Below are 12,655 nucleotides of genomic sequence, written 5' to 3'. Positions count from 1 at the left end.
TTTCAGTCGTCTCTGGGTGGCATTAAGTTTCTCCCCATGACCAATATATTGTAAATAGCACAAGGGATGATATTTCTGGAAGTAGGATCCCATGGTAATCTGACAAATAACTGCTGTGGGATCAGGGTCAGCTCAGAATACATGAGGATGATGGCAGCCACAGCCCTTGTTTTGCCTTTATAGACTATGGAGGCAGATAAATATCGCAGATATGGTACAGTTTAGTTTCGCCTGATTCTTTGTCACTGTAGATCATTGAGGAGTTAAAAAAAAAAAAGTATGACTGGTCCCCACAGAGGTAAGAATCTCATTGAAACTACAATTCACACACTTGACAAAGTTAGTAAGAAAAAGCAATAGTAGCCATGCTTAATTTTGTGAATCTGAGCCAGTAAAAGTAAGGTATAGTTTGTGATTATTTTAAAACCTACTTCAGAATGCTACATCCTGTGTGACTGATAGGACTTTCTACTGCACACTCTGAATAAAATCAGGCCTCTGAAAATAGTGTGCGAGCAAAAAACATTTCAGCCACCTAGAGTCTTTTTTTCTTTTTGTTTTTCTTTTTTTTTTTTTGAGATGGAGTTTGCTTTGTCACGCAGGCTGGAGTGCAGTGGCGCAATCTCGGCTCACTGCAAGCTCTGCCTCCTGGGTTCACACCATTCTCCTGCCTCAGCCTCCCAAGTAGCTGGGACTATAGGTGCCCGCCACCAGCCTGGCTAATTTTTTGTATATTTTGTAGAGACAGGGTTTCACCATGTTAGCCAGGATGGTCTCGATCTCCTGACCTCATGATCCACCTGCCTCGTCCTCCCAAAGTGCTGGGATTACAGGCATGAGCCACTACTTCCGGCCCAGCCACCCAGATTCTTTCTTTGCTGCCAATTGCCCACATGATACCTGACATTGTGTTGGATATTTGAGAAGGGTAGGAATGGAGCACGTTATTTAAAGGAGGGGTCATACAGCAAAACTCATTTTTGGTAAGAAAAGGAGTAACTCTAAAGGGAAAGGGAATTCCATTTCCTGCCCCAACCCTACTCTAGAAAATAGGATTTACCATATCATTTTTCCCCCTTCTCACAGTAATTGGCTGAAGAATCCTCTTCCATTTGGAAGTCTGGCGTAAATGAATCTCCTTATCCTTAACATCCCTCAGAGCCACTGATTACCTTCATCAAACCTTCTTGATCTCTACTTGTGAATCAGCAGTGATAGTGTTAAGATTCTCAAAAGCATCAAACTTTTTCTTGTTTTAAAAGAGCAAACTAGGCCAGGCGCGGTGGCTCACACCTGTAATCCCAGCACTTTGGGAGGCCGAGGCGGTCAGATCACCTGAGGTTGGGAGTTTGAGACCACCCAGACCAACATGGAGAAACCCCAAACTACAAATACAAAATTAGCTGGCTGTCGTGGCACATGCCTGTAATCCCAGCTACTTGGGAGGCTGAGGCAGGAGAATCGCTTGAACCTGGGACGCAGAGGTTGCGGTGAGCCGGAGATTGCGCCATTGAACTCCACCCTGGGCAACAAGAGCAAAACTCTGTCTCAAAAAAAAAAGAAGAGCAAACTAGGCCGGGTGTAATGGTTCATGCCTCTAACCCCAGCACTTTAGGAGGCTGAGATGGGAGGATTGATTGAGCCGAGGGGTTCAAGACTACCTTGGGCAACATAGTAAAACCCCATCTCTACAAAAAATTTTTAAAAATTAGTTGGGCTTGGCATGCATACTACTTGGGAGGCTGAGGTAGGAGGATCACCTGACCCCAAGGAGGTTGAGGCTGCAGTGAGCTGTGATCCCATTGCACTCCAGCCTGGGAGACAGAGTGAGACCATCCCCCAAAAAATAAAAATAGGCCAGGTGCGGTGGCTCATGCCTGTAATCTCAGGACTTTGGGAGGCCAAGGCGGGCAGATCACTTGAGGCCAGGAGTTCAAGACAAGCCTGGCCAACATGGCGAAACCCTGTTTCTACTAAAAATACAAAAATTAGCTGGCCTGGTACCGCGTGCCTATACTCCCAGCTACTCGGGAGGCTGTGGCAGGAGAATCGCTTGAACCCTGGAGGTGGGGGTTGCAGTGAGTGCCACTGCACCCCAGCCTGGGGGACAGAGTGAGACCCTGTCTCAAAAAAATAAAAAACAATGAGGGTGAGCACTTCTTTTGACTTGAGTCATTTTCATTTTTGAGCACACATTACCTGAGTTTATACGTTCCAGCCAAGCCAGCAAAGTAGCAGAGACTCAGTGAATTGGTATCTATTTTTTGTGGATGGGTTTTCAGGCTTTGTGGGTACAAATACAGGAGGCTAAACAGCAATGAGAAGCAAAGATTCCCTTCCTTTTTTTTTTTTTTTTTTTTTTTTTTTTGGGACAGAGTCTTGCTCTGTCACCAGGCTGGAGTGCAGTGGCATGATCTCGGTTCACTGAAGTCTCTGCCTCCTGGGTTCAAGGGATTCCTCTGCCTCAGCCTCCCATCAAAGATTCCCTTCTACTAGCACCTTGCATTAAAGGCAGAGTAGTCCAACCTCCTTACATGAAAGGCTGCATCAATCTGATCTTCATAGCAATAATAATAGCTAATAACATTGAGTTATGACTAAGTGTCAGGTGCCATACTAAAATTTCTACATGCATTATTTCATCTCCTTAACTTTGAAGTGGGTAATGTGATTATTCCCATTTTTTAGGTAAGGGATTGAGCACAGAGATGTCAGATAATTTACCCAAGGTCACATGGCTAATAAGCATTGAAGTCAAAATTTTGAACCAGGCACTCTGACTTCATTGCCTTTAAGGTTACCATGTGATTAGTAGAGTAGGTTAGACATGTACACTGAGTAATGAGGTGCTGACTTCCCTCAATGGGGGAACAGGAATAGGGCTGTGGGAGGCCAGAGGCAGGATAGATCACTGCTATCTGGTACATCAGGGAAGGCTTTTGGAAAAGATGGAACTACCTAAAGGCACATAATAGAGAAAGCAAATGTTTTTCTGCTGGTGCTGAGGAAGAAGTGCATGGTAAACCCAGAGTGTGCTCATTGATGGAAAACCCTGCTAGACAGATTACTAAGATTTTCCTTGCTTGGAGGGCATTGCTGGGAGGTTGAGAAAGAAAGGAATAGAATGGGGTGTAAAGGCAATATCTGAAAGCAAAGCACTGTGCCCTCTAAAACTCAGTGAGGAAGTCCTTTGGAGAAGAATGCATCCTTAATAGATGTTCAAGACATATTTGAAGATTGCTTTTTTTAAAAAAGTGGCAACAAGGTGGATGGAGATGTTTTAAAATGAAAACGGTCTCTTCCACATGAGAGGAAGAGACTTATTTTGCTAACCTGGTTGTAACTGGATGAAATATGAACAAGGAAGGGTGAACTTAGTTCTATTAATCCAAACAGATTATTTCACCATGTGGAGTAGAAATAAAAATAGACCAAGTGTCTTATGTCCCAAACAAACCAAGTTGTATCTGTGCCAGCTTTGTCTCCATACCATGTAGGGTGAGAATCCTGCTGGGCACAGGGACACTTTAGCCTAAATAGGGCATAGAGAATTCTTGTAGACTCCTAGCTTCTCTCTGTGGCAGCTCCCACATTTCATTTCTATCCTTTATATTTTTTTGCAGAGCTGGAGGTAAATGCTGCCATAGTCTCTGGACAAAGGTAAGATGATCATTTCTGCAGACGTAGCATGAACACAGCATAAGCCTCTTTGAAAGGTATCAGCTGTCTCAGTCTTTAAACCTCTCTTCACCTTGTCCTTTTCCTTCACTCTTGCACCAGTCTGTTTTTACTGCTAACGTAGAGAGCTGTCATGAGTCCTAATCCCTCAGAGGTAACATTTCTCTTAATAAAAGCTGGAGGCCAAGTTTCTACCTTTTATGGTTGTTTTCAAAGCTGAGTGAGATAACATGTTCTGCATAATGAGGAAATAGTAAATGTTCAATATATGGGAGCTGTTGTTACCATTGATATTAATATTAATAATAGTCCTTGCAGCTGTCTTCTAAAGAACAGTTGTTTGACCCTGAAAGCAAAAGAAGGAGAAAGCCAGGCAGGATCTGACCCAAAACCTATGCTTTTTTCTGTTACACTGTGCTGCTCCACATAACCCTACAAAATGACATACATCTATGGCTTCAACTTCATTAGCTCTGTGGAGAGGAATATTACCATTTTCCAAAAGTCATGCCTTTTTTTGGAGACAGAGTCTTGCTCTATCACCCAGGCTGGTGTGCAGTTGCACGATCTCGGCACACTGCAACCTCCACCTCTGGGGTTGATGCAATTCTCCTGCCTCAGCCTCACAAGTAGCTGGGATTACAGGTATGTACCACCACACCTAGCTAATTTTTGTATTTTTAGTAGAGACGGGGTTTCACCACATTGGCCAGGCTGGTCTTGAACTCCTGACCTCAAGTGATCCACCCGTCTCAGCCTCTGGGATTACAGGTGTGAGCCACCACACACAGTCTTGTCTCTTTTAGTGTAGGAATGCACTGGATAATATTTTAAAGAACTTCTCATAATTGTACAGCAACTTCATAAGACACTTTCACAATATTTTTTTCATTTAATCTTCATATCATCCCTGTGAGGAGGTTAATAGCCACCATTTATTTGAATGTTGTTCCATGCCATGCATCCTTAATAGATTGAGCTACAAGTGCCCTAGATGTGTTATCTCATCTAATTTTCACAGTATCTATTAGGAAAGTAAATTCTGTCTTATAGATGAGAAATCTAAAGTTCAGAAAGGTTAACTAAATTGCCCAAGGTCACAGAATTAGTAAATGGTGAAGGTTAGATTCAAACCCAAGCCTTCTGACTTCAGAGCCCTGATATTTAACCTATGTATTGCAACAGACAAGATGGGATTTATAGATCAAGAATCTAGAATGAGGCTGGGTGCAGTGGCTCACGCCTGTAATCCCAGCACTTTGGGAGGCCGAGGCAGGCAGATCATTTGAGGTCAGGAGTTCGATACCACCCTGGCCAAAATGGTAAGACCCCGTCTCTACTAAAACTACAAAAATTAGCCAGGCATGGTGGCGCATGCCTATAATCCCAGCTACTTGGGAGGCTGAGGCAGGAGAGTCACTTAAACCTGGGAGGCGGAGGTTGCAGTGAGCCGAGATCATGCCACTGCACCCCAGCCTGGGCGACAGAGTGAAATTCTGTCTAAAAGAAAAGAAAAGAAAAAAGAGTCTAGAACGGCCGGGCTCAGTGGCTCACACCTGTACTCCCAACACTCTGGGAGGCCGAGGTAGGCAGATGGCTTGAGCCCAGGTGTTTGAGACCAGCCTGGGTAACATAGTGAAACCCTGTCTATACAAAAAATTAGCTGGGCATAGTGGTATGTGCCTGTAGTCCCAGCTACTTAGGAGGCTGAGGTGGGAGGATCACCTGAGCCCAGGGAGGTCGAGGTTGCAGTGAGCCATGGTCGTGCTCACTGCACTCCAACATGAGCAACAGAGTAAGACTCTATCTTAAAAAAAAAAAAAAAAAAGTCTAGAACATAGAGCATTAAATAGCATAGTCAATAAATGCATAGCTAAGACTTCACCCCTGTTCATCTCATTCCAAATTCATTGCTACTCCTACTATACCACTCTGCCTGTCTGATTTTATTTGGATTGGGCTAATGTTTGAATTCATCTGCATTTCTCAAGCATGCACCAGCTATTTGTCTAGAGAAAGAAGCTAATCAGACCAAAAATACATTTGGGGTGTTTGTTTCCAGAGATACCTGAGCATTGACCATAAAAAACAGGATAGTCTTGCTGTGGCTTTTGTTTTGCCAGGAGAAAGAGGCACTTTCATTAGGAATCATCTAGCCAGGTACAGTGGCTCATGCCTGTAACCCCAGCATTTTGGGAGACCAAGGAGGGAGGATTGCTTGAGCTTAGGAGTTGCCCAGCCTGGGCAACATAGGGAGACCCTGTCTCTATGAAAAAAAAATAAAAAATAAAAAATTAATAAAAAATTAGCTGGTCATGGTGGCACTTGCCTGTAGTCCCAGCTACTCAGGAGGCTAAGGTGGGAGGATCACTTGAGCCTGGGAGGTCAGGGCTGCAATGAGCCATGATTGCACTACCCACACCCCAGCCTGGGGGACAGAGTGACATCCTGTCTCAAAAAAAAAACAAAAATTTTTTTTAAAAAAAGAACTTTCTTTCCTCAGAAGCTTTGACCATTTTCTGAGCTCCTAGCCAGAAAGCCATCTTCACCACCTCTCAAAGGAGGTATAAATCCCCCTGACTTGTAATTCCACCCCAGCTCCAGCCTCACCTCTCCTTGACTTACCTTGGCTTATGGTTGGGTGTCGGGCGGCTGTTATACATAAAGCTATGGGAGTGAATGGTGTGTCCCAGTTCCCAACCACGGTGCTACTAGCAAAGGGTCCTCTGGCAGGAGTGAACAGTGGAAGGGTAGGGATAGTTGACAGTCAGGTTATGGTCTGTGTCCTTAAGAGGTTCACAGTCTAGTTGAAGACACAAAACATTAAAATAGAACACGATGTACAATCTGATGGGTGCTCTAGAATGCCAGATAAAGACTGTGAACCCAAGAGACAAAAGAGACAGCTCTACTTGGGAAATGAGATCATGGAAGACTTCCCAGAAGAGGCAGCCTTTTGACCAGTATTGTTTTGTTTTGTTTTGTTTTGTTTTGTTTTGTTTTGTTGCATTATTTTTATTTGTTACATGTCTTGCAAGCAAATTTAATTTTCTAAAGAATTTTTTTTCTGATCATTTTAACATGCGTTTTTGAACCATGAAAGTGTAAAAAATTATTAAAGAAAACCAGAAATTCAGATCAGAGAATTACAAAGAAGAAAATAACTCACCAGTAAACTAGTATTCCTACAACTCAACAATATTCACTGTACATATATTTTAGTTCATCTGCTTCTAGTCTTTTTCACACAGTGTGCACCCAAATATATTGTGTCAGATTTATGTGTATAGGGCTGGGCGTTGTGGCTCACACCTGTAATCCCAGCACTTTGGGAGGCCAAGGCAGGTGGATCATTTGAGGTCAGGAGTTCGAGACCAGCCTGGCCAACATGGTGAAACCCCATCTTTACTAAAAATACAAAAATTAGCCAGGCGTGGTGGCGCATGCCTGTAATCCCAGCTACTCAGGAGGCTGAGACAGGAGAATTGCTTGAACACAGGAGGCAGAGTTTGCACTTTGCTGAGATCCTGCCACTGCACTCCAGCCTGGGGCACAGAGCAAGACTCCATCTCAAAAACAAACAACAACAACAAAAGATTTATGTGTATATAGCTCATATTTATTCATATGTAGTTACATATATACTCAACACATACAACAATGAAAATGGAATTATACTGTTCATTGTGTTGGTAAGTTTTTCCCACTTGGTAATGTGTCATAAATCGTTTTGTCATTAAATAATCTACAACATGATTTTTCATGACTCCATATGGATGTGCCATGATTTAGCTAACTAATCTACTATCGTTAGGTATTTAGGTCTTCTGTTTTCACTAGTACAAATAAAATGTTTTAACTTCCTTATGTGTGGAGCTCTGTAAAAAGATTTGTTTCCTTAGGCACCTAGAAGTGGGATTGCTGAGTCAAGGGTTACACCAGAGTTTCTCAGCCTCAACATTATTGACCTTTGGGGCCAGATAACTGTTTGTTGTGTGGGGCTTACGTTTAGTGGCATCCCTGGCCTGTACCCAAAAGATTCCGGTAGCACCCCTCTCCCCAAGTTGTGACAATCAAAAATGTCTCCAGATGTTGCTAAATGTCCCCTAAGAAGCAAAATTGCCTCCTTTTAAGAACCACTGGGTTATACAATTTACACTCCAGTTAGGAGTGTATGTAAATGTTTTTGTTCCTGTATCCTCAATAACAGTGAATATTACCAATTTTAAATCTTCATATACTAAGAAAAGGGGGTTGGGGTGTGGACAATCAATATACCTAGCAGTGTATTGTGAATTATCCCCATACTGTGGCTTCTAATATGCTGTTATCTGACTCTACCGGGATCATTAGTAAATGCCAATATATGTTAATAATTTCCTAGGTTTATATACTATTTTGAGTTAATAGCAATTTTCAGACATCTTAAAGACCATTTTCATGATTCTAAAAAATTACAAAATCCAAAATGTTTTAATTTTTGAAGGGAACTATTACCTTAGGAAAATGGGTGAGGGGCCTGGTGCAATGGCTCACGCCTGTAATCCCAGCACTTTGGGAGGCCGAGGTGGGTGGATCACTTGAGGTCAGGAGTTTAAGACCATCCTGGCCAGTGTGGTGAAACCCCCATCTCTACTAAAAAGACAAAAATTAGCAGGGCGTGGTGTCACATGGCTGTAGTCCCAGCTACTCGGGAGGCTGAGGCAGGTGAATTGCCTGAACCCAGGAGGCAGGGGTCGCAGTGAGCTGAGACAGCGCCACTGCACTCCAGCCTGGGCGACAGAGTGACACTCTGTCTGGAAAAAAAAAAAAAAGAAAAGAAAAGAAAATGGGTGAGGAATTAGGGGAGTTTTGTTCCAATTTTTTTATGTCTTTTACCAGTTTTTCTACAATTTCACCAACATTATGCTTTACTATTTTATTTTTACTAATGTAATAAGCTAGACTCACTTTTAAACCCCCAGTAACATAGAAGGCAATAGTGCTTATTACCCCAGGTTGAACTGCTTTCTCTCCAGAATAACTATATAGTTCTTAGTCTCCTACTTTACGAATGAAACTATCTGAAGAGCCCGTTTTTTGTGTGGCCTGGTTCCCTCACCTGCTTGGAAACTTTTTGCTTCCCTCTGTCAGCAGTGAGCCCAAAGAGATAGTTGAAAAGTCCAAAATCCCAGGCCGAAGAAACTCCCGAACTGAAGAGCCAACTGTGGCCTCTGAAAGTGTGGAAAATGGACATCGTAAACGATCTTCTCGACCTGCTTCAGCCTCCAGCTCTACTAAAGGTTAGCAGTGGGATGTGGGTGCTATTTGTGGGTCAAATAGAGGAATAGAGTTCTTACCACAGCAGTAGAAGACTTTGTCCTTCATCATTGCTTCTGTTCCTGAAGTCTGTCAAGTGTCTTTGTCTTCTACTACCTGTTTGGTCCTTCCTTTATTTGTTCATTTAACTGTATGTTTTCTGTGTGTGTACTCAAGAGCAACAAGCACTGCTGGAAAAAAGAACATAACAGGGCAGATTTATTCCACTGGTTTTTGGGTTTTGGGTTTTTTTGTTGTTGTTGTTGGTTTTTGTTTGTTTGTTTTTTTGAAACAGGGTCTCACTTTATTGCCTGGGCTGGAGTGCAGTGGCACAATCACAGCTCACTGCAGCCTTGAATTCCTGGGCTCAAGTAATTCTCCTGCCTCAGCCTTCCAAAGCTGGAATTGCAGGCATGAGCCACCACACCTGGCCTTGAGTCCACTTTTTTTTTTTTTTTGAGATGGAGTCTCATTCTGTTGCCCAGGCTGGAGTGCAGTGGCGTGATCTCAGCTTACTGTAACCTCCGCCTCCCAGGTTCAAGTGATTCTCCTGCCTCAGCGTCCTGAGTAGCTGGGATTACAGGTGCGTGCCACCTCACCTGGCTAATGTTTCTATTTTTAGTAGAGACAGGGATTCATCATGTTGGCCAGGCTGGTCTCGAACTCCTAACCTCAAGTGATCTGCCCATCTCAGCTTCCTAAAGTGCTGGGATTACAGGCTGAGCCACCACGCCCAGCTGATTCCACTTTAAATTCATGATCACCCACTTCAGATAGGTCCTGAATATGGCCCAGCTATCTTTCCATGTTTCCATGGTCAACTATCTTTCCCACTCTATTCTTTTTAAACCTCTGGTCCACACTTTCTCCCCCTCTCTCTTGGTAGAGACCCTGACCTCTTCACAGAGAAAATAGAATTCCCTCAGCTTCCCACTACCAAGAAATAAATCTACCAGTATCCTCCTTTGTGCTTTCTATAATAGAGCAGCTGTCCTTCCTCAAGTCTAAGGCCAGTTTCTCCATCTATGCCTTTGATCCCATCTCCTCTGACCTTCTTAAGAACCTTACCCTGTGAGTGTTCTCTGTTGACTACTATCTCCTTTTTAAATTAACTTTTCCCTTGGGTTCTGTGACCAAGAACTCTCTGTTGTCTTCTGCTACCACCTCTCCAGCTGCTCCTCCTCAGTCTCCCTTCCCAGCCATTAGATGGTGACCTTCCTCAGACTTTGATCCTGAGTCACCTTTTCTCTTCAAATTCGTATTTTCTCCCTAATGGATCTCAGTCATGCCCCTCTTCTTTAGTAACAGCCTTTCACAGATGACTTGTAAATTTGTATTTCTATTTCTAGTACAGACCCCTAGAGATCTTAGACAACTGCATGCACATCCTTACTGGAACCTCAGACTCAACATATCTAAAACCAAACTTGTGATTTTTCACCTCCAACAGTGAGGTCCTCTGCCATTGTACCCCATCTCAATAAATGGCACCACCATCTATCCATTAGACAAGTCCTCCTTGATACCTCTCTCCCTCACCCTTATATCAAACTCGTCACAAAAAACTGCCCATTTTATCTCAGGTGGCCCTTTTCCATCTTCACTACTACCCACTAGCTTAAAACCCTTCAATGATTTACCATTGTAATTAGGATTAAAGTCCAAAAGCTTCAACCTACCCCACAAGCTTCTGTGTGGTCTCGGCCCTGTCATCTCCCAGCCTCATCCCACTTCCCTTAGCAAGTCGGACATGCCGTCCTCATTCCTCTGATCACAAGCCTGTGCATATGTTGCAGCTACTGCAGGGAGTGCTCTTCTCTCTGCCCACCTCTCTTCTCCTTAACGTCCCACCCTTCCTACTTATCTTAGCTCAGTTGTCACTGCTATGGGGAATCACAGCACCAGGTTCTTCTTCATAATACCACAGCTATAACTATGCCAGTTTGTGACATAGGTAATTAGTATGTATACTTGGTTAGGGCAGGAGATTATGTCTGATTTTGCGAACTACTGTATCTCTGGTGCCTAGTATGGTGCCAAATACAGAGATGTACCAATCAGTAATTATCAAATGAATAACCATCTATCAAATATGTATTAAATATTTACTACATGTCAGGCCCTGAGGTTATAATAGTGAAAAGACAGAGCCTCAGCCACGTGCAGTGGCTCACGCCTGTAATCCCAGCACTTTGGGAGGCCGAGGCAGGTAAATCACCTGAGGTCAGGAGTTCGAGACCAGCCTGACCAACATGGTGAAACCCCCTCTCTACTTAAAATACAAAAATTAGCTGGGTGTGGTGGTGGGCGCCTGTAATCCCAGCTATTCAGGAGACTGAGGCAGGAGAATTGCTTGAATCCAGGAGGCGGAGGTTGCAGTGAGCCAAGATCGCGTCATTGTGTTCCAGCCTGGGCAACAGAGTGAGACTCCATCTCAAAAAAAAAAAAAAAGTCTCTGTCTTTACCACATTGAAAGACGAATTCTAATACTCTGTGTTAAATGTTAAATGCTATGATAGCAAAATTACATGGCACTATAAGAGCATATAGCTGAGATACCTTGCTCTTCTGCCAGGTCAGAGAAGGCTTTCTAGAAAAAAATGACATGACATTTAAGCTGAGACCTGAAGAATGAGGAGGCAGTGACCAGATCATTCTCTTAGGAAATGTGCTGAGCTTGAGTAGTTCAGTTTGGGTAAGGTAAGAGCTGGGATCCTGGCTGAGTTCCTGATTATCAGCAGGACTGCTGAGAAACGGTCAAGTATCATTGGGATGCCAGCCTAAAGACCAGGCAGATTCTGGTGCACCCACACTAGACACTAGACACGGATCTGAGGACTCAGCTGCTGTTGGCAGGTTATGTCTCTAGGCAAGAATGTCACGATGCCTCACAAGAGCCTCTGGGAATAGGCCAGAGGTCATATACAGTTAAAATTGAGGTGTACAAAGTACCATCACCATACTCAGCCTGCTGGAGAGTTAAGGGGCAAAGGTGAGAGAGGCCTTCTTTCTTTTCCAGGAATAGTGTATACACCACAGTCAGGGTCTCTTAGGTATCCTCATTTTAGGTGGAGATATGAAGCCAATAACTTCATTCCTCCTCTCTGGGAATCATCTCTAGGCAGAAACTAGTTTGGAAGGGAGTACACTTTTCAGTATATTGAAGTACTACACTTAAAGCATAAAAGGGAACATGCCTAGAGTTCTATGGGAAAATCTGCTTCCCCTCAGTTCTGCATGTTCTTGTAGCCTTTCACTTTCCCAAAAGAGTAAGATCTTCTAGGCTATAGAATATGGTATGTAATTACCTTTAAAGCGGGGAAAAGGTATTGGCCTTTAGAGATGTCACACACCAGATTTTTGGAACCTTGACCTCAGCCCAGAGCCTCAAGGTACTAAAGGGTTATTTACAGGGCACCAGAAAGAATCTAAGAAGCAACTGGGACAGTTAAGAAGAGATGCTCAAACTAGAACCGCTCTGTAGAGAACTACCAGCCAAGAAGAGATGGAAAGCTAGAACCTGTTTTTAAGGGGTGTTGGGGATGGGGAATAAGCCTGTACACTTAAACTGAACATTGTCCCACCGTGGCAGTGGTGATGTTGGAAAGCCTGGCACATCCTTGCTCTGAGGCTTAGCAGTTGGCTTAGAAGAGGCCATAATGACTCTCAGGCTTTGTGA

General features: G+C 43.5%; 1 protein-coding gene across 35 annotated transcripts in view; it reads left to right on the top strand.

Annotated features, from left to right (window-relative positions):
* Positions 1-12,655, top strand: part of NCOA6 (nuclear receptor coactivator 6) — a 110,878-nt gene that overhangs the window by 89,433 nt on the left and 8,790 nt on the right. For 19 of the 35 annotated variants that reach the window (XM_047440068.1, NM_001438234.1, XM_047440067.1 and 16 more), the window contains 2 exons: positions 3,624-3,660; positions 8,812-8,960. In XM_047440068.1, coding sequence (XP_047296024.1) covers positions 3,624-3,660; positions 8,812-8,960 — 186 coding nt within the window. Of the gene's footprint in view, positions 1-3,623; positions 3,661-8,811; positions 8,961-12,655 lie in introns of those variants that run through there. The other 16 variants (XM_047440055.1, XM_047440054.1, XM_047440064.1 and 13 more) reach the window with 3 other exon arrangements.

This window comes from Homo sapiens, chromosome 20, assembly GCF_000001405.40.
Source record: "Homo sapiens chromosome 20, GRCh38.p14 Primary Assembly".
In the NCBI taxonomy this organism is placed as follows: domain Eukaryota; kingdom Metazoa; phylum Chordata; class Mammalia; order Primates; family Hominidae; genus Homo; species Homo sapiens.
Note: the sequence above shows the minus strand (reverse complement) of the source record. Positions and strands in the feature narration are given on the sequence as shown.